Consider the following 27,480-nt stretch of genomic DNA (forward strand, 5'->3'; position numbering starts at 1 on the left):
TCTCTCTGTGACCCGAGTTTGGCCAACAGGCATTTTCAGTTCCACCCCCAACCCCCAGCCCCGCTGACCCGAGGCGGAGAGCAGGCGCGGAGGTCGCTGTCGCGTACCCAGCGGAGCCGGGCGGGCGGGGAGCAGGGGCGCTGATTCGCTGGAGAAGGGATCTTCTCGAGGTTTGACTTTACTGGCTTCTTAGCTCTTGAATCGGTTTTTCTGAAGGAGATTGTGAAGAAGCCAAGGTGCTGGCTGAAGATTACACCTGTCTGCTCGGTTACCCATTTACTCTGGAGAATTAATGCTTATTGTACTTTTTAAAATAAAACTTATTTTTGTGTTTCCGGAAAGTTTGCTCTTTAGTATTTCCGTTGTAATTTATTACCTCCTGCTTGAAATTGAGTACCAAAGGAGTTTTTAGGAGAGAGGGTAGGGTCTAACCAAACAAAATAGGCTCAGCCAGTAGGTCTTTCTTTCATCCACGGAAATATGTGTGTTATGTCACAGCACTAAGGGCAGATGTTTCCTATTTCTTTTCGGGTAGTCAATCTCCGAATGCGCTGATGTTTTCCATTAATGTTAATAATTTTATCATTAATGGATTTCAAATTTTTTATTAGGGAAGCATGTGTAATTGCACTGGTCAACAAAATCTAATTTATTTACTCAACAGTTTATATCAGTTCGCAAAAATGTACATCGTAAGTTTAGCATTTTACTTAATTCATACGGATGTAATGATTGGGGTTAAAACCAGGGTTTGAATTCTGGCTCTGCTACTTACGGTATTCTTGGGCAAGCCACTTAAGTTACTGAGGCTTTATTTCCTTATTTCAAAGTAAATTATACAGCTTCGTAGAGTTGTTTTTCGGAATGAAATGACATTATATGTAAAAAGAATGTGAAAGCTATCTCAATAAATATTGTCTTTTCCCAAAAGGTATTGTAATTATTTCACCTTTGGTGCTTTGTTGACTGTATAATGCTAAAACGTCATTCATACTTTACAGATTTGTAAGATTAAACACAAGTATCTATTCAAAGAATGATCTGTTTTACAGTAGTTGTAAAATATATCACTGAACTCTTAGAACCGTGGTATGTTAATGCTGGAAGAGATTTTAGGGAATATATGGTCCAATAATTACTTCTGTGAGGGAGACTGTTGAGGAATAAGCAGTGTTTTAGGCCGAAACAGTTTCAGAAAAAAAAAAAATTGTTGCTTTTTTATTAACTGCTGCATTGGGAAACCACAGACTGGAGTGCTGTCTCAAACACCAGGTGTTATTTTTTTGTAGCGTGTGTTTAAAGATTCTATTTAGGATACAAAAGAAAAATAAAACATTGAGGCCTGGTATGGTGGCTCACGCCTGTAATCCCAGCACTTTAGCAGGCTGAGGCGAGCAGATCACGAGGTCAAGAGATCGAGACCATCCTGGCCAACGTGGGGAAACCGTCTCTACTAAAAAATACAAAAATTAGCTGGGCGTGGTGGTGCGCGCCACCCAGGAGTCCCAGCTGCCCAGGAGGCTTGATGCAGGAGATTCGCTTGAACCTGGGAGGCAGAGGTTGCAGTGAGCCGAGATGGCACCACTGCACTCCAGCCTGGCGACAGAGTGAGACTCCGTCTCAAAAAAAAAAAAACAAAACCATTGAGATAACTTTAAGTTCAGTTGCATCTGAAGTGATTACCAGTAAATATAGTTTATGAACTATCTGTATCTCTTAAACTTTTGTTTAGATGTTCTTTGACCTTCCACAATGATCTAAGACATTTCAAACATGTTACCAACTGTACAGACATAGATGCTCACTGTTCAGTTGGTTGAAGACTGGCCTGTTGTCACCAAGAGGATTCTTTTAGCAATAAATGCCAAGAAAAGACCACCAAGTAATCTGTCACTTTATGTTTTGTCAGCAGAGCACTGTCAATTTAAATTTACCTGAGATCTTCACCGTATTCAATTAATTAGTACCCTAAGTTCTTTAGTTCACTAGGTCTAAATTCAGAATTTGAATAAATAAGAGTCACATGCTGTACTTTGTACTTTAACTAAAAGCTGAATCTCTTCAAAGGGGGATTTCACAATTCTGACTTCTTTCTCAAAGAATGAGCTTATTCTGTTTTTATAATGGCTAAGGAAATTGAAGTTTGGAGAAAAAAATATATACAATAGCTACAAATAAAATACTTAGGAATTAACCAAGGAAGTTAAAGATCTGTACAAAGAAAACCATAAAACACTGATGCAAGAAATTGAAGAGGACACAAAAAAAATGGGAAGATACTCCATGTTCATGTATTGGAAGATTCAATATAGTTAAAATGTCTCTAATACCCAAAGCAATCTACAGATTCAGTGCAATCTCTATCAAAATACCAATGACATTCTTCACAGAAGTATTAAAAACAATCCTAAAACTTATACAGAACCATAAAAGACCCAGAGTCACCAAAGTTACCCTGAGCCAAAAGAATAAAAATGGAGGAATCATGTTACCTGACCTCAAATTATACAACAGAGCTATAGTAACCAAAACAGCATGGTACTGGCATAAAAAAAAAAAAAACATAGACCAGTAGAACAGAATAGAGAACCCAGAAACAAATTCATTCACCTACAGTGAACTCGTTTTTTACGAAGGTGCCAAGAACATACATTGGAGAAAGGACAGTCCCTCCAATAAATGGTGCTGGGAAAACTGAATATCCGTATTAGAAGAATGAAGCTAGATGTCTCTCTCCTCGTATACCAAAATCAAATCAAAATGGGTTAAAGACTTAAATCTAAGACCTCAAACTATGAAACGTCTATAAGAAAACATTGGAGTTGGGGCATGGTGGCTTACACCTGTAATCCCAGCACTTTGGGAGGCCGAGGCAGGTGGATCACCTGAGGTCAGGAGTTTCAGGCCAGCCTGGCCAACATATAGTGAAATCCTGTCTCTACTAAGAATACAAAAATTAGCTGGGCGTAGTGGCACATGCCTGTAGTCGCAGCTACTTGGGAAGCTGAGGCAGGAGAATCACTTGAATCCGGGAGGCAGAGATTGCAGTAAGCGGAGATCACGCCATTGCACTCCAGCCGGGGTGACAGAGTGAGACCCATCTCTCAAAAAAAGAAAAGAAAACAGTGCAGAAACTTTCCAGGACATTGGATTGGGTAAAGATTTTTTGAATAATGCCCTACAAGCACAGGCAACCAAAGCAAAAATGAACGAATGGGATTACATCAAGTTAAAAACCTGCACAGGGCCAGGCACGGTGGCTTACGCTTGTAATCCCAGCACTTTGGGAGGCTGAAGCAGGTAGATTTCTCGAACCCAGGAGTTGTATAACAGCCTGGGCAACATGGCAAAGTCAAAACCCCATCTTGACAAAAATACAAAAAGCTGGACATGGTGGCATGTACCTGTGGTCCCAGCTACTTGGGAACCTGCAGAGGTCAAGGCTGCAGTGAGCTGTGATCATGCCACTGCACTCCAGCATGGGCAACAGAGAAGCCCTGTCTCAAAAAATAAAAATAAAAACCTGCATTACAAAGGAAATAATCAGCAAAGTGAAGAGACAACTCACAGAATGGGAAGAAATATTTGCAAACTATCCATCTGATAAAGGATTTATAACCAGAATATATAAGGAGCTCAACTATATAGGAAAAAAATCTAATAACCCGCTTTAAAAATGGGCAAAAAAGCTGAGTAAACATTTTTCAAAAGAAGACTTACAAATGGCAAACAGGTATATGAAAAGGTATTCAACATCACCGATCATCAGGAGAAATGCAAATCAAAACTACAATGAGATATCATCTCTCCCCAATTAAAGTGGCTTTTATGCAAAAGATAGACAATAACAAATGCTGGTGAGGATGTGGAGAAAAGGGAACTCTTGTACACTGTTGGTGAGAATGTAAATTAGTACCACCACTATGGAGACCAACTTGGAGGTTCCTCAGAAAAAACTAAAAATAGAGCTTCAGTATGTCCCAGGAATCCCACTGCTAGCTATAGACCCAAAAGAAAAGAAACCAGTATATCGAGGTATCAGCACTCCCTTGTTTACTGCAGCACTATTCACAATAGCCAAGATTTAAAAGCAACCTAAGTGTCTATCAACAGATGAATGAATGAGTAAAGAAAATGTGGTACAAATAAACAATGGAGTACCGTTCCGCCATAAAAAAGAATGAGATCATCTCATTTGCAACAACATGGATAGAACTGGATGTCATTATGTTAAGTGAAAAAGCCAGACACAGAAACACAAACCTCACATGTTCTCACTTATTTGGCAGTAAAAATTGAAACAGTTGAACTCATGGAGATAGTAGAATGATGGTTACCAGAGGCTGGGAAGGGTAGTGGGGTGGGGACTGGGGATGGTTAATGGGTACAGAAATATAAGTTAGATAAAGTGAATAAAATCTAGTATTTGATAGCACAAAAGGGTGATTATAGCCAACAATAATTTATTATACATTTTAAAATAAGAGTATAATTGGATTTTTTGTAAAACAAACAATAAATGCTTGAGGTCATGTATACCCTATTTACCCTGATGTGCTTTTCACACATTGTATGCCTGTATCAAAATATTTCATGTACCCATAAATATATACACCTACTACATGCCCACAAAAATTACAAAGTAAAAGAAACCTAACTCTATAATTCCTTTTCCAACATAGATTCTGATTCTATATCATTCTGTTACTCTCTGGGAGACCCTCCCCCTCCCTAAAATGTCCTTATATATCCTGAGAACTTTTCAACTCAAGACAAGTATGCCATTTTGTCAACACTAGGACGTGTCTAGAAAACAAACCTCATTCCTCAATTGGCTCTAGAAGTCTAACTACTATAAATGTTTGTGGATTCTGGAGTGCCCTCTTGTCAACACTAGGACGTGTCTAGAAAACAAACCTCATTCCTCCATTGGTTCTAGAAGTCTAACTACTATAAATGTTTGTGGATTCTGGAGTGCCCTCAGGCATTTCAGGCTTTTTTTTTTTTTTTCTTTCTTTCTTTTTTTTTTTTTTTTTTTGAGACAGAGTTTTGCTCTTGTTGCCCAGGCTAGAGTGCAATGGCGTGATCTCGGCTCACTGCAACCTCTGCCTCCTGGGTTCAAGCAAGTCTCCTGCCTCAGCCTCCCCAGTAGCTAGGATTATAGGCATGGGCCACCATGCCCGGCCAATTTTGTATTTTTATCAGAGGTGGGGTTTCACCATAGTTGGTCAGGCTGGTCTCAAACTCCCGACCTCAGGGGATCCACCCGCCTCGGCCTCCCAAAGTGCTGGGATTATAGGCGTGAGCCACCGCGCCTGGCCTCATTTCAGGCATTTTAATCTGTTTACCTAAGACAGGTTAACCTTTAAATTGATGAGAATTTTATTTACAGCTTAACCAGGAACCAGATAAAGCAGAACTCCCAGGACATATACATAATCTGAATTTATCCTGATCAGATAGACTTCACGCCTTGGTGATTTAAGAATCAGGAATTATGTCAAAAAATACTCCCATCATCTGTCATAAAGTTAACTGTATTCTGATTTTTTTATTCCAGAATGTAAATTTCCCTTTCACTTGTTGCATTCCTTGAGCAATCAAGTAATCAAAACATTTTAGAGCTGCAAAGGATCTTGAAGAGTTCAAGTCACTTACCACTAAGAAACTCACACTCAGACCAACGAATGGTTGTATAGGTTATAAGGGACTAGAAATCTGCTTTTCTGGCTCCCAATCAATGTGATTACCTTGTGTGAGATTCTACTTTATTGGTATATTTAAACATAGCCCATGTCAGCATTTAGGATTTTCTAAAGTACATTGAGCAATCTTTGTATGCCATATTATCAAATCAGACAGGAAATAAAAATTACGAGAATCCTTATTTCTAGACACAGAATAAGTATCAGAATTTCTTAAGCTTGATTTTCAGCTCTGCTACTGACACTGAAAATCATTTTGGAAAAGTGCAGAGAAAACATGATGGGTAGCTATTTTGAAAGGAAGGACCAGATCAGAGATGGCAGATAGGTGATACATCTACCAACAGTTACTCCTTCTCAAACCCATAGTTTACTGTGATAATTCATTTCTGTACTGTTTCCTACTGAGATGTAGCCTTGGGATCCTACTTAGTAATTCACTTTTAGATAGTCAGTACCAGTTGATGGGAATTAGCATGCAAGATAAAATTGATTTTCCATTCCTGGCAGTAGAGTTGTGAAGCAAAATTATGTAGTAAATGAAAGATTAGACAGGAACTTCATAGTCACTTTATTTTTGGTTATTGAGATATCAGTCTCCTTTCATTTGAATTGTTGGCATCATTTTGTTCATTAGCTAATTAGTAATAGGTAAAAAATGTGAAAATCCCACATGTTATATGTTAGGATTTAGTATATGATTTGGTTAGGATCAACTACAAATTCTAAGCATGCCTAAAGTTTTTTTGGTTTTGTTTTGTTTTGTTTTTTGTTACAGAGTTTCGCTCTTGTTGCCCAGGCTAGAGTGCAATGGCACAATCTCGGCTCGGCGCAATCTCGGCTCTCCGCACCCTCCGTCTCCCGGGTTCAGGCAATTCTTCTGCCTCAGTCTCCGGAGTAGCTGGGATTACAGGCATGGGCCACCATGCCCAGCTAATTTTGTATTTTTAGTAGAGATGGGGTTTCTCCATGTTGGTCAGGCTGGTCTCAAACTCCCGACCACAGGTGATCTGCCTGCCTCGGCCTCCCAAAGTGTTGGGATTACAGGCGTGAGCCACAGTGCCAGCCATGCATGCCTAAAGTTTTAATTAGCCTCTCATGGTTTCAATAGCAAAGGCTTACTCAAGTTAGCACAAGCAATGAGGAGATTATTGTAAAGAGCAACATAGAGCAGCAGTGGAGGCACATATCCCTTGTAAATCCCAAAGCAGAAACTGTCACGCTAATAGGTCAAACTGGAAGTAGATCCAAGGCTAGAGACCAGCCCCAAGAATTCTTGATTCCTCTCTAGTGCTTAGTTATAAATATGAATCAGCTATGTTACTTCCTCAGTTTGCTTCTCACTACCAGTTAACCTAGTCATTTTCTCCGTTCTTTATCTTTTTCTATCTCTTTATAAATAAGTATAGCTTTCCCATAACATGGGCTTGCCTCATGGCTATGATACTAACTGATGACTTCTCTTTTCTATATTCTATTTTTTTTTTTTTTTTTGAGACGGAGTCTCACTCTGTCACCCAGGCTGGAGTGCAGTGGCACGATCTCGGCTCACTGCAACGTCCACCTCCCTGGTTCAAGCAATTCCCCTGCCTCACCCTCTTGAGTAGCTGGGATTACAGGCACACACCACCACACCTGGCTCATTTTTTTTGTATTTTTAATAGAGACGGGGTTTCACCATGTTGGCCAGACTGGTCTCAAACTCCTGACCTCAGGCAATCCGCCCCTCTCGGCCTCCCAAAGTGCTGGGATTATAGGCACAAGCCACCACGCCCGGCTCTCTTTTCTATATTCTTATTAGTAATGTCTACTGATGCTTGTATCTTGAGCTCTTTTCCCAGGTCTAATCCCCAAGGGCTCATCTTTTTACATCAGAACATTTTGTTTGTTTCTAGCCAGCCCAGGATTTGGTCTCCAGCATTGGTCTCATCAGAAATGATAAAGGGAGTTCTTAAAATCCCAAACATGGCTTCTTTGCCATTACTTTAGAAGGGATACTATAGGTTGAGTATTCCTTATCCAAAAGGTTTGGGATAATCTGAAATGTTTCAGATTTCAGATTTTTTCAAATTTTGGGATATTTGCATTATATCGGTTAAACAATCCTAATCCAAATCCAAAATGCTCCAATGAGCATTTCTTTGGAGCATCATGTCAGCATTCAAATAGTTTCAGATTTTTGAGCATTGCAGATTTCAGATTTTAAAATTACGGATACTCAACCTGTATAGTGGGGTCCTGTATAGGTTTACCTCAGGACAACAATAAAGCAGGTCTTGACTGATCTATCTTGAGTTTGTTTAATTAAAGATTTGTTCTGGGACGGGCACAGTGGTGGCTGATGCCTGTAATCCCAGCACTTTGGGAGGCCGAGACGGGCGAATCACTTGAGGTCAGTGGTTTGAGACCAGCCTGGCCAACATGGTGAAAACCTGTCTCTATTAAAAATACAAAAATTAACTGGAAGTGGAGGCACACGCCTGTAATCTCAGCTACTTGGGAGGCTGAGGCAGGAGAATCGCTTGAACCTGGGAGGCAGAGGCTGCAGTGAGCCAAGACTGCGCTACTGCACTCCAGCCTGGGCAACACAGGGAGACTCTGTCTCAAAAAAAAAGAAAAAAAATTGTTCTGAATTAAAATATCACATTTTAATATGTAACAAATTAAAACTTTTAGCCTACTAATTTGCATACCAGTGAATCAATGAATGCCCATATGCTATAATTATTATAGATTATTAACTAATTCTTATCTAATAATGAAGTGACCATATATGTATCTGAGTCATCTTTCACTTAGGTTCATAATAGAGGCTAATATTAATACAATGGCATACAGAGTTTTTGGATAGATATATAAATACTTTCTTAAAGTACTAATGTGTACTTAAGACATGGTCAAAATGGCAAATCACATTCTAAGTTTTAATTATTGTAAGAAATATGGAAAGTAATGTGTAAAACTAATTTAAGGAGACTGTATATTTCAGGAAATAATCTTTTAATTTTGATACTATTAAAACAATTAGTGGTACTTGTTAGGGTTTTGTAGAGCTGTAATCAGTTCCAGATCAGAGGAATTTTAAGTTTTGTTGGATTTAAATCCTTATTTTAACATAAATCAAGGAAGAGCAATGCTTTGAAATCTAGAAGAGCTTCAGCTCTTGTGTTGGTATGATTAATGTATCCTTAAGAATTATCCTGCTTTGATAATTCCTGTTAGAGTAATAATTCAGCTACCTTATTTTTTAGTTTTTCTTATATACATTATATATTTTTAATTGTATCATACATTCTTGTAAACTGCCATAAATCCTGAGGAAAAACACTGGAAATAATACACAAATGAAGCCTGATTTATTTAAAGACTGGCATTTTCACCTGGAATGATTGTTCACGTTTTTTATTATTGAGGCATCAAAGCCCAGGAAGAAATGTATATGATATAACAGTTTTCATCATTCTATAGCCATTTTAACTAGCCAAGAGGCTAACTAAAACTTTAGGCATGCTTAGAATTTGTAGTTGATACTAACCAAGTATCATAAATTCTGCCTTTCTACTTCCAAATGTGTATTTCTACTTCATGTAAAATGCTATATATTTAACCTTAATTTTTGACCAAGAAAAGATGAATTATTTAGAATAGTAAAATATGTCCTGGTCACAAGTCCATTATAATGTAATTTGTCATGTTACTTAGTTGTATAGATTTATGCTCATTTTATTACACAGTCCTATTTACTAGTAATATGTCCTTTTGAGTTAGAATAATAAAGATTGTATATATGTCTAAGTTTTCATTTGTAGTTTATTTAATGCTTTTGTGTTTTCCTTTTTATTTCTTGAACAAATCAGAGACCAGAAATGAGTGGAATGCTATCTTAAGCCAAAAAAAACTATTATAATTTTTATTTAGTACTACTTAAATGAAGAAAGATAAAAAAAGAAACAAAATTCCAATTGATAATTATCCCATTCAGACATTAGTGAATATGTCACTCAATCCAAGTCGACCTTCCTCATCAGAGGTAAGAAAATCTTTTTATACTAAAATATAAGAAAGACCTGCTTATCACTGTTTTTGAAAAGTTTTATAAAAGCAAAAACATAGATTATATAAAGTATTAGATATTGACTCCACCATGATCCCAACTTCATGTATCCCATTGCCTGATTACACTTCTCGTGTCTCTAGCTCACTTCCTCTATCCCAAGCATATTGGGATCCCCAATGCATTGATCCTATCACCTTTTTCACTGTTTCTCAATTGTATGATTGAGGTTGGTACCCTCCATATCTAGCTTAAGTTCCATAGAGCAGTCATGATCACTCCTTTGCACATATTTTTGACTCCTTGCCCCTCTCTCACTTCATTGTGCTGCTTGGCAAAACAACAAACATGGTTAATGCATTTCTCCACCTATTCTGTACCTACACCTGAGCAGCTGAACATGGCTAGAGAAAAAAAATGTATACCATCGTAAGTACCATTCTCACTTTAAATTCATGACCATGAATTTCAAGTGGAATCTTTTTCTGGTGGGCAGTCTTACTATCTGCCACTCATTAATTCAGTCTTTCACTCTTCTAAACAAGTATGTCATACCATCTCAGACCCCCAATACCTTCTCTCTATTTTCTCTTAAACCAACTGCGGTCAAGATTTCACCTCCATTATTCCACCAAAACTATTCTCATTAAATTCACCTTTCATTACTAAATCTGTTGGTTAATTCTTATCCTAAACATTCTTGATCTATGTGTGCACAACAGTTGACACCATTAATCACTTTCTCTTCCTTGACATAGGCTTCGCTAGGCTTCTAGCATACATATTATGTTTGTTTTCTTCTTACCTCCCTGGTTGTTCATTCTCAGTCATCTTTACTGGGCCTTCATCTTCCTCCTGACCTCTTAATTTTGGCATACATCAGGGTTCAGCTCTTTGTTCTCTTCTCTACCTGCGCTCATTCCTTGGTGATCTCATCTAGTCTAACAGATTTAAATACCAACTTTATGCCAAGGATTTCCAAATTTATAGCCTCATCTCAGTCCTCTTTCCCAAATTCCAGATTCACGTAGGCCTATATTCAACTGACTAACTGACATCGCCACTTGGATGGCCAATAGATATCTCATCTTAATATGTCTGAAACTGGATTTTTTTCCCTTCCCTAAAACTTGCACTACCCATGACTTTTGCCATCTCAGGTGATGTCAAATCTATCCTTTAAGTATCTGAGGCCAAATGCCTTGGAGTTATACTTGATTCTTCTTGCATACTTGAGTCTTCTACTTGACTCTTCTTTCAAACTCCACTTCCAATAGATTGACTCTGACTCTTCTACTTGACTCTTAAACTCCACTTCCAAGGGATTGACTCCAGCTTTTAAATATATACAAAATCTGACTACTTTTTAATAACCTTTACTGCTAGCACGTGAGTCACCATTGTCTCAGACTGTAATTATTCCAGTAGCTTCATAACAAGTTCTCTTTTCTTGCCTCTTATAGTCTGTTCTAGCTATGATTCCCATCACTCAACTAATTAAGTAAAGCATTATGTATATCCTGATATAATGCAATATAAAATACAGGACACCACTTATGAAATATTATTGCCGCAAGTAGTAACCTGTGTCCCTTGAAGGCTATATAGTTAACTGTTTACAGGAGATAAGAGGTTGGAGAAACAAGTTAAATGACACCTTAGAGATAATGAAGTATATTCAGAATGTAGAACATTCTATAAGACAACTGACCCAATATCTTTTAAAAAGTCAATGCCATGTTAAAAATAAAAAGCAAAAAAATAGGTTTGGGAACTCTTCAAGATGAAAGTTTTAAAAAACGTAACAACCAAATGCATTGTGTGATCCTTGTTTGAATTCCAGATTAAGAAAATATTTCGAGGACAATTGGGAAAATTTAAATATGGACTGGATATTAATTGACATTAAGGAATTTTAATTTTTTTAGATGTGAAAATGAAATTGTGATTATGTTACAGAGGTCCTTATTTTTAGAATATGGATGCCAAATAATTTAGGGATATAGTGTCATGATGTCCTGTTTACTTTGAATATTTTATTCAGAGGGAGAGAATTACTCTTTTTATTTATATGTATGTTTAAAATTTTTCATATTAAATAAAAATATATGTCAGATCTTAATGTTTCTCTTAAAACCATGCATTAGCTTCCCATTTTGTAGGTGAAAATGGCCCAGAAGGTGCTGTATGTTTCCCCTCTACCTCCTTATTTTTCTGAACTTATCTTCTACCCTCTCCCCTACTCTCTCTGCTTCAATCATACTGGCATGCTCTCACCTTAATACCTTTATTTTATCTCTTTCTGGAACTCTTTCCCTCTAGATCTTCACTTGGCTAATTCCTTCTTTTCCCTTAGGTCTTTACTCAGATCTCACCTTTTCCATGAGACCTACCCTGACTATTTAAAACTGAAAACTTCTCCATCCCATATCTTCCCATTCTTCTTTACCCTGCCCTACTTATTATTTTTTCCTAGCAATTACCACTTTATAATATAGTATGTTACCTATTAGTGTTTTATGTTTATTGTTTTTTAATTTTTAAAAAATTTTAAAAATTGTACTTCTTAGAAGTCAGTATTTATTGTTTGTTGGCTATATTTCTCACAGAGCCAGGACTAGTCTGAGGCAAATGAGGTACTTGCCACAGATGAAAAATTTAAGGGGCTACCAAAAAATTTTTTTAGTAAAATTAATGCAAAAAAAATCCATGATGAACAAGATATCCATATTTTAAATAGAGACAGGATCCAACAGTGCCATCTCTAATCATTTTGAAACTTGGGACAAAAGAAAAAGTATGTGCCATACCTTGTAATGTATTTTTAAAATAGCTAATGGTTTTAATGAAAATGTTATTGATGAGTAGCTTCCATTAAAGTCAGGAAGGTAAGATTATAATAAATTAGCGTTTGAGTGTAAATAGAATATTTAACCTTAAAATAATATTGTCAGATTTAATATGTACTTTAAAATTTTTCAGTATTTTTTCAACTACTTTGTTGTTCTGGAAAAAAGCCATTAAAATGTCTTTTTTAAGAAGCATATATATAAATATTTAGTTCAAGAAACAGTTTCCTCCTGTAAAATATTAATACATTTATATAAAGATAAGGTCATATTTACTTCAAATTTCTTAAGGTTTTGCAAATATTTAATAGTATAGCTAGGGGTTAATCTTTTAAGTGCTCTAGTGTTCAAAATGCAACGTATAGAAAACTTCACTGTCAGATCTATACAGACATTTTAAATTGTTAGTTAATAATCATCATCAAAAGCATAGAAGTAATTTTCTTGATTTATAAAAACAACTTGAAGAAAACCTTATGCTCAGGAACTATTTTTATCTCCTATGAAATTACTAATATTAACAGTAGGTCATATTCAAACTTTTAAAGGTTTCTCAGATATTTAATATTGCATTCGAGAATATTCATTTAAATGCTTTGACTTTTAATATGCAGGGAGTATCAAACTTAATTTGACTAAAAGATAAGACTATATTTGCAATCATTGTTTCTGTTGTGGTTATATAAATATTCTTCTAAATAGAAGGATTCTAATCAAGGTCATAACAAAACATCAGTGGAAAAGTGGATAGTTACATAGAAGCATAGACATGCCCAATGTAAGAACAATCATTCCTTTCTCATTGGTCAGGAATAGGTTCTTCCTGGAATTCTGGGGAATAAGTACATTCCCCAAACCACAGTATTAAACTTTTTGCAGGTGCTGAGGGCTAGCAATCATCAGAACTGTAATAGGGAGAAAATATACAAAGGATAAAGATTCCACAGGGGATCACCCCAATGGAACTGAGTAGGTGGGGAGTGAGGTGAGGTAAAGTTGATGTTAAGAAAACTAGTCTTGGTGCCCTAGGATTCTTACTGCAGGCCACAGAAAAAAACACCATATGCCAAAGATGTTGAGCTAATCTCATAGCCACATCTATAACATTGTTGCCAAGGGAAAATGTACTCCAAGTGCCAAGTGGCCAACTTAAGAACAAATTTTTAGTTCATTTTGGTTTTTGTTTGTTCAGAGGGATGTATGTATTCCATGTTTTTTTTCTATTGTGTTTATTAAACTTAATTCTATAGGACATCAATTGATTTTTTTTTTCACTTTAAAAATATTTTAACCGATGTTCTTCTCAATTTATTCAGTTGGTGGAACTTCATGTTTTTTATGTCCCTGAAGGATCATGGAACTATAAGCTAAATACCATTTCAACAGAAGTTGTTAACAAATTCATTTCAGCTGGATTTCTAAGGCAAGTGTTGTGTAGTCATGTAACAATATGCCTGAAAGAAGAATCTGTTTTCTTCAGAGAAAAATGCTTTTTGGAAATTTAAAAACTATAAGTGAAAAATATTTTGTCCACGTGATAGATCCATTTCCTGACTTAATGAATACTATCAATATATAGTGCTATGTAACAATTGAATCAGTTCTGTAGGAATAGCTCACTTGGCCATAATACTACCACCCAGAAAACAGTATATAACCTGTGTATTATTATGGTTATACACAAAGTGAATTAAGAGAGAAGTTATCTAAAATTAAAAATCTGCTAAACTACTCAGGAGGCTAAGGTGGGAGGATTTCTTTGAGGCCCAGAAGTCAAGGCTGCAGTGAGCCATGATTGCAGCACTGCACTCTAGTCTGGGCAACAGAGTGAGACTCTGCCAAAAACAAAAAAGAGAGAGAGAAAGAGGGAAAAAGAAAGAGGGAGAGAGAAGAAGGAAGGAAGGAAGGAAAGAAGAACGGAAGGAAGGGAGGGAGGGAGGGAAAACTGCTGATCTGAGAATAGCAGTTAAAGCAATATATCTACAACGCCTCTTTCTCTGACCTGTTTAAAAATATAAACAAAGAACATGTGTTTATATGTATGTAGATGTGTATTTTCAAATTCACAAAAAGACACATAATACCATGTGATCTGACTGCCTGTTGTTACTCCTTACGCATACCTCTCTTTCTAATCTTCATCATCTCTTTCTTCAACCACATCAGCCTCCTTTCTGTTCTGGAACACATAGCCCTACCTCAGGACCCTTGTACTTTCTGTTCCTTTTGTCTAGAATGAGTTTTCTGCCCTAACCATATGCTCTCCCATCTCCTTCAGGTCTTTACTCACATATTACCTTTTTCTGTGGATATTCTCTAATCACTGTATTTTAAATCATTCATACAGTCCCTTTCTCCCTTCCCTGCCTTATTTTTCTCTGTGGTACTTAGTAGTGTCTTATGAATTACATTTTTTTACTTATTTACTTCATTAATTTTTCTATCCCACCACTAGATTATATGTAAAGTCCATGAGGGCAGAGATTTTTATTTTGTTGACTGCCATATTCACATCCCTTGGAACAATGTCTGACACATAGTAGATGCTCAATAAATATGTGTTGATTGAATGAATTACCTAATATTTCTCATAAGGTCCCAGAAAAACAAGAACTCAGATGATAGCGTAAGTGATGGCTTTAAATTTTAGATATTCAGGAGCAAAGTATCCCTAATAAGCAAAGATGTGGACTCTGACAATGTTAGATTATTTAAAAAATTTTTAAGCACTAGCTACTCCTGCCAAACTTCCAAAATAAATATCTGTGGCTAAATCATTCATTGGTATATGTATAAAAGTACATCTATTCCACAGCAAATTTTAACAATAAAATTTGGAAGTAAATTAGCAAAGAGACAGTTGTTTTCCTTTTCAGTACAAAACATTTATAAACAGTGTTTATTTGCATAATTTTAAAGGCAGACTTTTAATTATTTATTTTAAGAGCTATTTATGGAAGACCTACAAAATGCCGGCAATGTGGAAACATAATATGTTAAGCTATATCTGACACATTAAATCAACCTTTGTGTTTGAGATAGCTGACTAAAGTTATTGAATCATTAGTATATCCAAAATCTATTTCATTTTATATTATAAGGCAATTTTATAATATTTCAGAGTATCTCCTCAACTTACTTTACGAGCCCTGAGGGAGCGTCTTGGTGAGTTCCTGGGTGAAGATGCTATTGCAGAAAAATTTTTATTTCTGAAATGCATTGGAAATAATTTAGCTGTGGTAAGTTTTCTTTTTTTTTCTTTCTGATTGAGAAAGACCATACCTTCTCAAATTACATTTCTTAAATGCTTATCAACTCAGCTCCTTAAGATATTATTAGATATGTAATCTCAATCAAAATGAAATGGAAATATCATTAAACATACAGATCAACAAAGATAAGTTGCATAGGCATGTTATTGGGCATGAAAATGATGGGTTTTGTGTGTGAATTTCCTTGCAAAGCAAAGAAATACCAATTTAAAATGTGATCATATAAGTTCTTGAATTTAAATGAAAGTTTTTAAGTGTTTTAAACAGGTACTTGAGTTCTGGGAAAAAATGGGGTTCTCATCACTTGTGCCACAACTAGACTCATTTGATGTGAAAATGATATGGCTCCAACATATTTTTTTGGTGTCAACTTTTTTTTTTTTTTTCCGAGACGGAGTCTTGCTCTGTCACCCTGGCTAGAGTGCTGTAGTGTGATCTTGGCTCACTGCAACCTCCACCCCTCAGGTTCAAGCAATTCTCCTGCCTCCCGAGTAGCTGGGATTACAGGCATGCGACACCACGCCCGGCTAAGTTTTGTATTTTTAGTAGAGACAGAGTTTCACCATGTTGGCCAGACTGGTCTCAAATTCCTGACTTCAGGTGATCTCCCTGCCTCAGCCTCCCAAAGTCCTGGGATTACAAGCATGAGCCACCTTGCCTGACTGGTGTCAACTATTATTTACTGAACACTCCTATTTGTAGTTTCTATGACTTAGTGGGCAGGATACTCTAAGTAGAGAGTATTCCTAGCTTAAGTTTCAAATCTAACAAGCCATCAGATCTCAAAGGTTCTGGTCTCTCATATCTACATAAATTTTATTTCCTTAATCAAGATTTTCTATATTTAAACTCTTTAAAATGCAGCATATTCTTATTTCACTCTCATTAACAGATTATATCATTATTATGTGTTTATGTGAATATTTGCTTAACATCTAACTCTACCATTAGATTATAGGTCCTTGTGGGGAGGGACTTCATTTTATTCATCATTGTATTTATAACCAGTGCCTAACAAGGTGCTTTGCACTAGAGGTGTTTAAATGTTCACTGAACAAATTAAAACATGAATGATAATGGAAAAAATAGGCATTTTCTTCCAAAGTACTACTATAATTTGCTGTGTGAGATTCTTGGGATCGGTAGTTAAATTTGAAGAGGTTTTGGTTATCAGAGTTCTATTTGGTACAACTTTTGGCATATTAATATTAATTTACTGATCATTAAGTCAGCTTTCCTCAAGCAGGCAAGAAAATGAACAACTCTCATAATTTTTTGTTCTTTTCATGGTATGTAAATGTACAAAATATCAGTCATAGAATCCCAGATTGGAAGGGACTTTCTAAGTAATTTAGGTCAATTTCTAAAATCCTTCTAATATTTTATTATTTTAAACAGATATTTATTAATGTTTTTCTATATACAAAACTAGAAAAAGAACTAGATATAGATCTTGCCCTCAAAGAGTGCTCAGTGTAGTGATGAAGATTAAAATATATAAAATAAATAAATAAAATATCATATTTTATATATTCAAAAGAAAAGGAGATTACTTCCAGCAGGGGAAGAGGGTAAGTAGAAAACTTTGAGAAAGAAGCAATATTTCAATTTGGATCCTAAAAGAAAAATATTTGTTCTTGCAAAGATGAAAGGTGAGAAAAGCTTTCTGAGCAGAGAAAATAGGTTAAGCACAGAAGTAGAAATGCAGACAACTCAGAAATAATAAATGGTACATTTTTTTAATGGAGCATTGACTACATGAAAGGAAATAGTGGAGAGCAAGTTGTAAAGTCGTTTGTTGAAGGTCTTCAATGCCAGATTAGTAGTTTGGATTTTTTCATGAAACCATGAGTTTTTGACTAAGAGTGACATGATTAGAGCCTTCAGTAAAATTAATTGGGCCTCACTGAGAAGGATGGATTGAAGTGAGGAGGCAGGAATTTCAGTAAGAAAGTTTTACAGTGGTTCAGGCAAGAGATAATAAGGGCCTAAGGAACAAGCTGCCTCTCAAATTTTATCTATGACCATTTTCTCCTTGGTTTCATACTTCAGCTAAAAAAATCTTCCTTTGGTTCTCAAATATGGCAGACTCATTTCTGATTTTTGGTCCTTGCACTTGCCTAGAAATCACTTCTCCCTGATTTTCACATAGCTGGCTGTTTCTTTTCATAATTCAGGACTTAGCTCAAGTATTATCTTTTCTAACAGGCCTTCCCTGACCTTTCTTCAAGTTACTCTTTATTACATCACTCTGTTTTCTTTTCATAAAACATGTATCACCATCCTAAATTGAGTTTATTTATTTATTTAATATCTGGTTTCCCAAGTAGAATATAACCTCCATGAAAGCAGAGATTTTGCCTTATTTATCATTGTATCCATACCATGTAGAACACTGCCTGACAGATAGTATGCCCTCAGTATTTGTGTTTTGTTTTGTTTTGTTTTGTTTTTGAGACAGAGTCTCCCTCTGTTGCCCAGGCTGGAGTGCAGTGGTGCACTCTCAGCTCACTGCAGCCTCCACCTCCCAGGTTCAAGCGATTCTCCTGCCTCAGCCTCCCGAGTAGCTGGGGGAGCCACCACACCTGGCTAATTTTTATATTTTTAGTAGAGATGGGGTTTCACCATGTTGGCCAGGCTGGCCTCGAACTCCTGACCTCAAGTAATCTGCCCAACTTGGCCTCCCGAAGTGCTGAGATTACAGGCGTGAGTCACCACGCCCAGTCCCCCAATATTTGTTAAATAAATAGATAAATAACAAATGAACTCTATGGGTTGAATATGTAGGAAATAAAATAAAGTTTACTAAGTTGGACTTTGGGGTCAGATGACCTGGTTTTGAATCCCAACTTGGAAATTTCCTAGGTATACAATCTTTACTAAGTGTAAAGCACTTAAAATAGTGCCAGGGACATAGTAAGTCCATTTAAGTGATAGGCATAGTTATTATTAATAAATGAATAGAATTTCTATTATGTTTGATACAGTGAATAAAAGTAACATTATATTCTACATTTCTAGAATCTAGCCATAGCTTTTAAATTTGATTTTTATATTTGCCACAAATACATGCCTTCTGCAAAAAAAGTAGAGGTAAAAATAATTGAAAAAAATGTAGCAAAAGCTTTAATTTTTTTCTCACTACTTATTTCTAGGTGAAGGAAAAGCAAGAATCAGAACTGAAACTCAAATCATTTGCTCCTCCATATGTATGTAATGTGACATTTTAAACTTATGCTAATTTTTAACTTAGAGCACTGCTTTTAATTGCAAACTAACTTTTAAAATTTCCTATATGTTTTAGGCTCTTCAACCAGAATTATATTTGCTTCCTGTAATGGACCATTTAGGAAATGTTTATTCACCATCAACAGTTATTTTAGATGAGCGGCAGACTAATAATGGTGTTAATGAGGCTGATGGAACAATCCACAGACCAATTAGTGTAACTTTGTTCAAGGAGGAACTTGGAAGAGATCCCAGTTTGTTAGAAAACACTTTGAAAGAGCTTCCTAACAAGAATCAGGAAGAAGGTGATTTTAAACTGGAATGGGAAAAAGAAAGAGGCTATTATAGTACATTTTAGCAGTCAAGTCTGTAAGCAAACCCTGAGCAAACCTAGCCTTACAAATATAGGCAGTTTAAAAAGAAAGCTACAATTCCACTTGGGGATTTCTAAAAAAATATTTTTGCCAGATGGGAGGAAAAGAAAACAATTTAAGTACTATGTTAAAATAAAAACAAAATCAAAATAGTTACAGCACTTAAATGAACATTACCACCTTTACTTCTTTTTTAATAAAATAGTTTTAGATAAAAGTAAAGCTACAGGGGAAGAGAAAGGAAAGGTGACTGCATAAAACTTTGGTATTACTCAGAGACCAGAGGGATCAGGAAAACAGTATCAAACCAAGACAGACAACAACAACAAAAAAACTTTAATGTTGGGGAACATACGTATTTCAGAGAATTTTAAATTTTTTATCTGATTACACCTATCAATTTACTAATAATTACTAATAACTCAATTCTTCAAAAGTGATAGGGGCCAGGAGTGGTGGCTTATATCTGTAATAAGCATTTTAGGAGGCCAAGGTGGGTGGATCATTTGAGCCCAGGAGTTTGAGACCAGCTTGGGCAACATGGCAAGACCCTGTCTCTACGAAAAAACACAAAAGTTAGCCAGGTCTGGTGGCACATGCCTGTAGTCCCAGCTACTCAGGAGACTGAAGCAGGAGGATTGCTTGAGCCAGGGACGGGGAGGTTGCAGTGAGCTGAGATGGCACCATCACCCTCCAGTCTGGGTGACAGAGCGAGACTTTGTCTCAAAAAAAAAAAAAAAAAAAAAGATAGGTAATTTAAAATGTTTAAATAAAAATTAAACTCATAAATACATAAATAAAGCTAACTACAGTCTAAGAATCAATAGGAAAAAAAGATAGGTAATTTAAAATGTTTAAATAAAAATTAAACTCACTGAGCATCTAACGGGTGTCAAGTAATAAACAGTAAATATTAAATGCACCTAAGATGAAAGCAGGTACTAACTTTGGAACATTGTTGGGTTTAGAATAAATTTAGAATACAAGAAATGTAACTGATTAAGAACTACTATATTCTACAGCTTTAATAGATGTTGTCTTTAGTCAACATCTGGGGGATGCATTTCATTTGTAAATGTTTAGTATATCTGCTTTTCCTTCACAGTTTATTTTTTAATGTAATATGGTAAAAAAGTTAAAAGTTAAACTAATTTTTTTCCTATTGATTCTTAGACTGTAGTCAGCTTTATTTATATGCTTTAAATGAGAGGCCAGTGTGTGTTCATTTTTAAAAGTTCTAGAAACATCAGTAAGTATTAGGAAGAAAATAAGTATAAAGTATACTTTTACTAATAAATGTAAAGAAGAAAATAAAGACTGACAATAATTTTACTACTCAGAGATTACTACTACTTAGAATTCTGATGTATATTCTTCCAGTTATTATTTTTTAGTTCTTATATATAAAATATATTTTTACTTTTCAGAAATGAAGACACATACAGACTCTTAAAGCCTCTTATATTAAAATATAAACATTTCATATTAATAAATATAGATCTGTGTCATTATAGAATTCCCTGTGTCATAATTTACTTCCCCAACCCTTTATTAATGTTTTTGCTATCATGTATAGTGCAATGAGCAACATTTTTTTTTCTTTTTGAGATGGAGTCTCGCTCTGTTGCCCAGGCTGGAGTGCAGTGGCACAATCTCGGCTCACTGCAGCCTCTGCCTCCCAGGTTCAAGCAAATCTCCTGCCTCAGCCTCCCTAAGTACCTGGGACTACAGGTGCACACCACCATGTCCAGCTAATTTTTGTATTTTTAGTAGAGGCAGGGTTTCACCATGTTGGCCAGGGTGGTCTCGAACTCCTGACCTCAGGTAATCCACCCACCTTGGCCTCTCAAAGTGCTAGGATTACAGGCGTGAGCCACCGCTCCAGGCCAGAGCAACATTTTTCTAAATGCAGTTTCATGCATTTGTCCTATTATTATTTTTAGAAATTTAACTGCTGTTTCTAAGGTAACAACCTTATAAACCTTGTATGTTTTTCTCTGGTCACACTTCTTCCTTCTCCAGTAGAGATAACTACTACTTTGATATTTGTGGTAATTGTTTTCTTGCTTTACTTTTGCCTTCTGTATTTTGAAGCTCTGTTATTAGGTGCATGCACATTTAGGATTATTATGTCTTCTTGATAAACTGACCCCTATATCATGTAATGTTTCTCTTTATTGCTGGTAGTAGTACTTATTTTGAATTATTTTCTTAACTTTAATTTGTGGTTTGTCTTTTTACTCTATGATTCTTTTGATCATAGGAATTCCTTGTAGTTTCACAACTGAGATATATATCCCTGATAATATAGTTTAGTTATGTCTGTTTTGAATTTTATTTATGTATATCATTTTGGACTCACTTCTCTTACTCAACATTGTAAGAGTCAACCATACCTATTTATTTTCATTGTTGTGCTATTCCATTTTATACTCACACAATTTATTTACATTACAATTTATTTGTCTATTCTATGGCTGATGGACATTTGGTTTGTTTGCAGCTTGGGACTATTACAAATATCCTGTTATGTACATTTTTGTACACAAGTCCTAAATGTGCATGTGCAAGAGAATTGGCATTGTTCATTGTTCATGTTCACGTACATGTTCAACTTCACTAAACAACATCCATGTGTTTTCCAAAGCGGTAGTACCCAGCAGCAATGTCTAGAAGTTCCTGTTGAACCATAATCTTGCCATTATGTCATATATTTTCTGTCTCCTTGTTTCTCTGCTCCACATTTTGGAAAAAATAAAGAGTGAGGTAGTATAGATTTCCTCCAAATGCATTTCCAGTTATCCCAAAATATCATTCATTCCCTCCCCACTGATTTCAAATGGCACCTTTACCACACTATATATATATTTTTTCATATATATATTCTTATACATACATGACCACTTTCAGACTTTATCCATTTTCTGAACTAGTACTGACATTAATATTTTTTATATATCTGGCAGGGTGATTTCCCATTCAATATTATTATTCTTTATTGTGAGGTTCAAAATTGGATATCATATGTGAAACTGCTTTGTATCTGTAAATCACCACACAAACAAATATAAGTAATTCTTTTCGATAGTTTTGGTTTGAACTTTTATTTCCTCTGTGGTTTGTCATTTTGTTGGAAAGAAATCCAGTTTTTAAAAATTTTTATAAATATTATAAAATCTTTTTAGGACAAGGATTTATTGCTACTTACTCAGAGTCAAACACAGTGCCTAGACCACAGTCCTGAATAAATATTTGTTGAAAATTAATAACTGTCTTAACATCAATGAGTAAATAATATATAATCAATTACTGTGTTCTTAGTAACTGTAATGGTACAAAAATGATAACAGATGCTATCCCTTCTGAAACGTGACATTTTAGAGAATAAATTTATAATAAATAATAAAGTTTGGGAAGAATGCAGGTAATATGCCTTTTTTTTTTTTTTTTTTTTTTTTGAGACGGAGTCTCGCTCTGTTGCCAGGCTGCAGTGCAGTGGTGCGATCTCGGCTCACTGCAACCTCCGCCTCCCGGGTTTCAGCAATTCTCCTCAGCCTTCCGATAGCTGGAATTACAGGTGCCTGCCACCACACCCAGCTAATTTTTGTATGTTTAGCAGAGATGGACTCCTGACCTCAGGTGATCCACCCGCCTCGGCCTCCCAAAGTGTAGGGATTACAGGCATGAGTGACTGCGCCCGGCTGAAGCCTAAACTCTTTTTTTTTTTTTTTGGAGACCGAGTCTCGCTCTGTCACCCAGGCTGGAGTGCAGTGGCACAATCTCGCCTCACTGCAACTTCCGCCTCCTGGGTTCAGGCAATTCTCCTGCCTCAGCCTCCCGAGTAGCTGGGACTACAGGCACACGCAGCCATGCCCGGCTAATTTTTTTGTGTTTTAGTAGAGACGGGGTTTCACCGTGTTGCCCAGGCCAGTCTCAAACTCCTGAGCTCAGGCAATCCGCCCGCCTGGGACAGGCAGTCCACCCACCTCGGCCTCCCAAAGTGCTAGGATTGCAGTCATGAGCCACCGCGCCTGGCCGAGCCTAAGATTCTTAAGGTAGCATAGAGAACTCTTCAAATCCAGGGCTACAGTGTATGGCCATGCAGATTGTTTAGTACCTATCTCCAGAAGGCCTCCTTCTCAGAGATCGTGATATGAATGAAGCTTTCAGGATTTACTTAATGGTGGGGTTAGTTCAGTAATTTTTATCTATTATTATTAGTAGTAATACTACTATTTAATAGCATGAGGTTAGGAAAGGGAGGGAGAGAAGTACTATGAACTGGTACTTCTGGAGAGGTAGGTAGCGACTTGAACTACAAGAGCCTTGCTTGCAAAGCTGAAGAGTTTAGTAGGTAATGGGAAGCAATCTGAAGTTTTTAACTTGGCATGATTGGATTTTAGTTCTAGAAAAACAGCTTAGGTGACAAGATGGAAAATAGACTTAGGGACTAGGAAAATGGCAATGGGATATAAATCAGAACTTAAAGTCAAGAAACTTCTCAGGATTGGACAGTGTGCCAGGTACTTTACATGCATTATGCCATTTTAGAGATAAGGAAAGAGAAGTTAGAGAAATAACTTAACTGAAGTCATACATGTTATGGCCATGCCAGGACTTGAGCTCTTTTGTGTTTGACTAAAGCCCATGCTTTATAACACTGCGCTAGAATCATACTGATCTTTTCATTATGGATAAAAATGCTTCACACATTATTAGTATTCTGCTCCTTGTACATACCGTATTCTTTGCTTAAATTCCTCCTACTCCCTTATTTGTCACCAAACAGCTCATAGTTCAAAACTTAGTTTCACAGTTATCACTCCCTTTTCTGTGACTCTATCATATTTTAAACATATATTTGTTGGAGTTCTCAAAACACTGAGTTCTACATTATTGTTTCTTTTTATGGGTGGGTAGGGAGAGTTGTAGTTTACTATTAGCTTTTACACAGCTGGTACGTCCATTTTTTATTCATTTTGCATTATATAGATCTTTTAGACAATCTGTTTTTTTGTTTTGTTTTGCCTTGTTTTGTTTGAGACAGGGTCTCTCTCCAGACCAGGCTGGAGAGCAGTGGCACAATCTCGGCTCACTGCAGTGTCTGCCTCCTGGATTCAAGCTATTCTCCTGCCCCAGCCTCCCGAGTAGCTGGGATTACAGGCACGTGCCACCACACCTGGCTAATTTTTATATTTTTAGTAGAGACAGGGTTTTACCATGTTGGCCAGGCTGATCTTGAACTTCTGACCTCAAGTGATCCACCCGCCTCGGCCTCCCAAAGTCCTGGGATTACAGACATGAGCCGCCATACCCAGCCTCTGTTTGTTGTTCTTAAGTGACAATTTCAATACCAGGTGGGAAATAAATTGTAGCAGCCAAACAAAAATCAGTATGGGCTCCAGGTTGCACAATAGTTTGGCAAGTCTTTTTTTTTTTTTTTTTTTTTGAGACAGGGTCTTGCTCTGATGCCCAGGCTGGAGAACAGCAGGGTGATCATGGCTCACTACAGCCTCAACCTTCCAGGATCAAGACATCCTCCCACCCTAGTCTCCCAAGTAGCTGGGAACACAGGCATGCACCACCATGCCTGGCTAATTTATTTTATTTTTCTAGAGATATTGCCCAGGCTGGTCTTGAACTACTGGGCTCAAGCTATCCTCCTGCCCAGCCTCCCACAGTGCTGGGTTTACAGGCATAAGCCACCATGCCCAGCAACAACTCTTGTAAAATGACTTTTCAAATATTAATTTGGCTCACTTATTCTTTTATGAATTAAAAAAATTGATTTCTCCAAGGGAAAAAAATCTGAATTAATACTGCCAGGTTCGTGTATCTTTTGTTTATATAGACCATGTGGAACATTAGTGTTAATATTTCAAAGATGGATTGTTTAGTTTTCCTATATTGAGAAATTTTGTTAAAATGAAGGGAGATTTTATCAATGAAAATGTATGTGAAATAAAAAATGACATTTTATGTTCTGTATTTATACCAGCATTTTCCAGAGAAGGTTCCTCAGAGCACTGTTTCAAAAACTGCTTTGGCAAACGGTTTGTAAAGACAATTAAGGCCGAACGCAGTGGCTTATGCCTGTAATTTCAGCACTTTGGGAGGCCAAGGTGGGCATATCACCTGAGGTCAGGAGTTCAAGACAAGCCTTGCCAACCTGGTGAAACCCTGTCTATACTAAAAATACAAAAATTCGCTGGGCGTGGTAGCACATGCCTGTAATCCCAGCTACTTGGGAGGCTGAGGCAGGAGAATCGCTTGAACCTGGGAGGCAGAGGCTACAGTGAACTGAGATTGCACCACTGCACTCCAGCCTGGGCGACAGAGCAAGTCTCTATCTCAAAAAAAAAAAATTATATTTCAGGAAACCCCCAACTTACCTACCCCGCTCTTGCAGATTTAGTTGTACATGGAGACAAACCCTTTAATAGGAGTGAATGTGTGTGTAGGGGGTTGTGTTGCTGTTTGATGTTGCTTAATTCAACATTTCCCAAGCTGAATTAACCAAATAATTTTCTTTTCACATAAACAAATATTTCATGAAATTCACTTTGGAAACTATTGACTTATATCTATATAGGAAAGTTCATGGGGATTCTGAAATCTACGATAAGATTATAGTGTACATGTATAAAAACAAACGTTTATTTTACTATTTTCCTAACATTCTGAACTTTATTTGCTGTGGATGACCATCAACATCAGCTGGGGGAAAAGCCACTGCAGAAAAAAGCCAAATTGCAAAAAATCAAATTGGAAATTCTGAGTTGCCAGGATCATTGGAAGATTCAAATAATGATTGCTTTGGCACTAAAAAAAGGTAATTAGTATAGATGCTGATTCCACATGCCATAATCTAAACAATAAGAAAAAGAGTAAGATATTCAGAGTATTGTTATAAAGACTTCTACTTAAAGATATGAGTGAAATTAGTGATATTTTAATTAAAATTACCTTGATTCAGATCTTTACTGTTTTTTGCTAACATTCCTCTCCAAGATAATAAGGGATAATTCATAACTTAAATTTATTTCTATTGTAGTACTTTTATCATTGGGACAACTTGATGACAGAAAAATTTCTGTCTTTGTTTCCCTTCATTAGAACTAATTATCCTGCCTCTCTTAAGTTCTTGGTTATAGGTAAACTAATCAATATGCTTGATTTTCACACTGGTATCATTTTATTCAAAATTATAGTACTTAGACGAGTTTTACACAGTCTTTTGAAATTAAGGGTTCTTATAAACAGTTATTCACAAAAGAACAATAAACAAATATGTTTCTAAAATTTCAAGTAATTTTATCTTGCTATAGATATTGAACTAGAATTTAGCTATAATATAATAAAATATGATTTTATTACTCATACTAAATGTAGCTTTACATGGATTACTAATGAGTCTGAAAGAACATATGATAATGGTCTCAGGCTGACTTTGAAAATTTTCAATATTTGTGTTTACAGAGCATCAAATAAAATACATAAAATATGAAAAGCTAATATTCATGGGATCATGTTTTAATGACTTTCAAACCTGTCATTTCCTTTAAGTCAGTGTCTTTGGGAAAATGAAGATGATACAGCTATCAGTAGAAGACAGGACAATCAGGTACTATTTAAAATTTTTTGTTTAAACATGGTATTGCAACATCATAATATTTTTACTAAGATTAAACTGAAACTGCAGATTAAAATGTCTAAGTTTTCCAGAAACATACTTCTAATATCAATATAATCAATAGTAGTCCAATTTTTCTGTTTTTATAAATAAGGTAACAATATGCCCAAATGAGAAGGGGGAAAAGTTATCCACCAACACCTTTTTGGATTATCTTCTCAAATTTTATTACTAGTTTTAAAGGTACATCAAACTATACTTAACTAGCAGCTTTCATAGCTAATTTGTAATTTAATATACTAATACCTGTACTTGATTAACTTGTCTCTTTAGAACAGAATTATATAGTGTGTTAAGAAGCAGTA

The 27,480-nt window shown here is 36.1% G+C and overlaps 1 protein-coding gene across 16 annotated transcripts in view; it reads left to right on the top strand.

The window, feature by feature from the left end:
- SPATA1 (spermatogenesis associated 1) overlaps positions 1-27,480 on the top strand; it is a 60,994-nt gene that overhangs the window by 275 nt on the left and 33,239 nt on the right. For 8 of the 16 annotated variants that reach the window (XR_007057962.1, XR_007057965.1, NM_001397487.1 and 5 more), the window contains exons 2-8: positions 9,563-9,735; positions 13,925-14,031; positions 15,730-15,847; positions 19,036-19,089; positions 19,185-19,413; positions 26,200-26,314; positions 27,049-27,106. Coding sequence is in view for 12 of the 16 variants with exons in the window: in XM_011542514.3 (XP_011540816.1) it covers positions 9,634-9,735; positions 13,925-14,031; positions 15,730-15,847; positions 19,036-19,089; positions 19,185-19,413; positions 26,200-26,314; positions 27,049-27,106 (783 nt within the window). In the remaining 4 variants the exon portion in view is untranslated. Of the gene's footprint in view, positions 1-9,562; positions 9,736-13,924; positions 14,032-15,729; positions 15,848-19,035; positions 19,090-19,184; positions 19,414-26,199; positions 26,315-26,961; positions 27,141-27,480 lie in introns of those variants that run through there. The other 8 variants (XM_011542517.2, XM_011542516.2, XM_047416077.1 and 5 more) reach the window with 3 other exon arrangements.

This window comes from Homo sapiens, chromosome 1 (genome assembly GCF_000001405.40).
Source record: "Homo sapiens chromosome 1, GRCh38.p14 Primary Assembly".
NCBI lineage: Eukaryota > Metazoa > Chordata > Mammalia > Primates > Hominidae > Homo > Homo sapiens.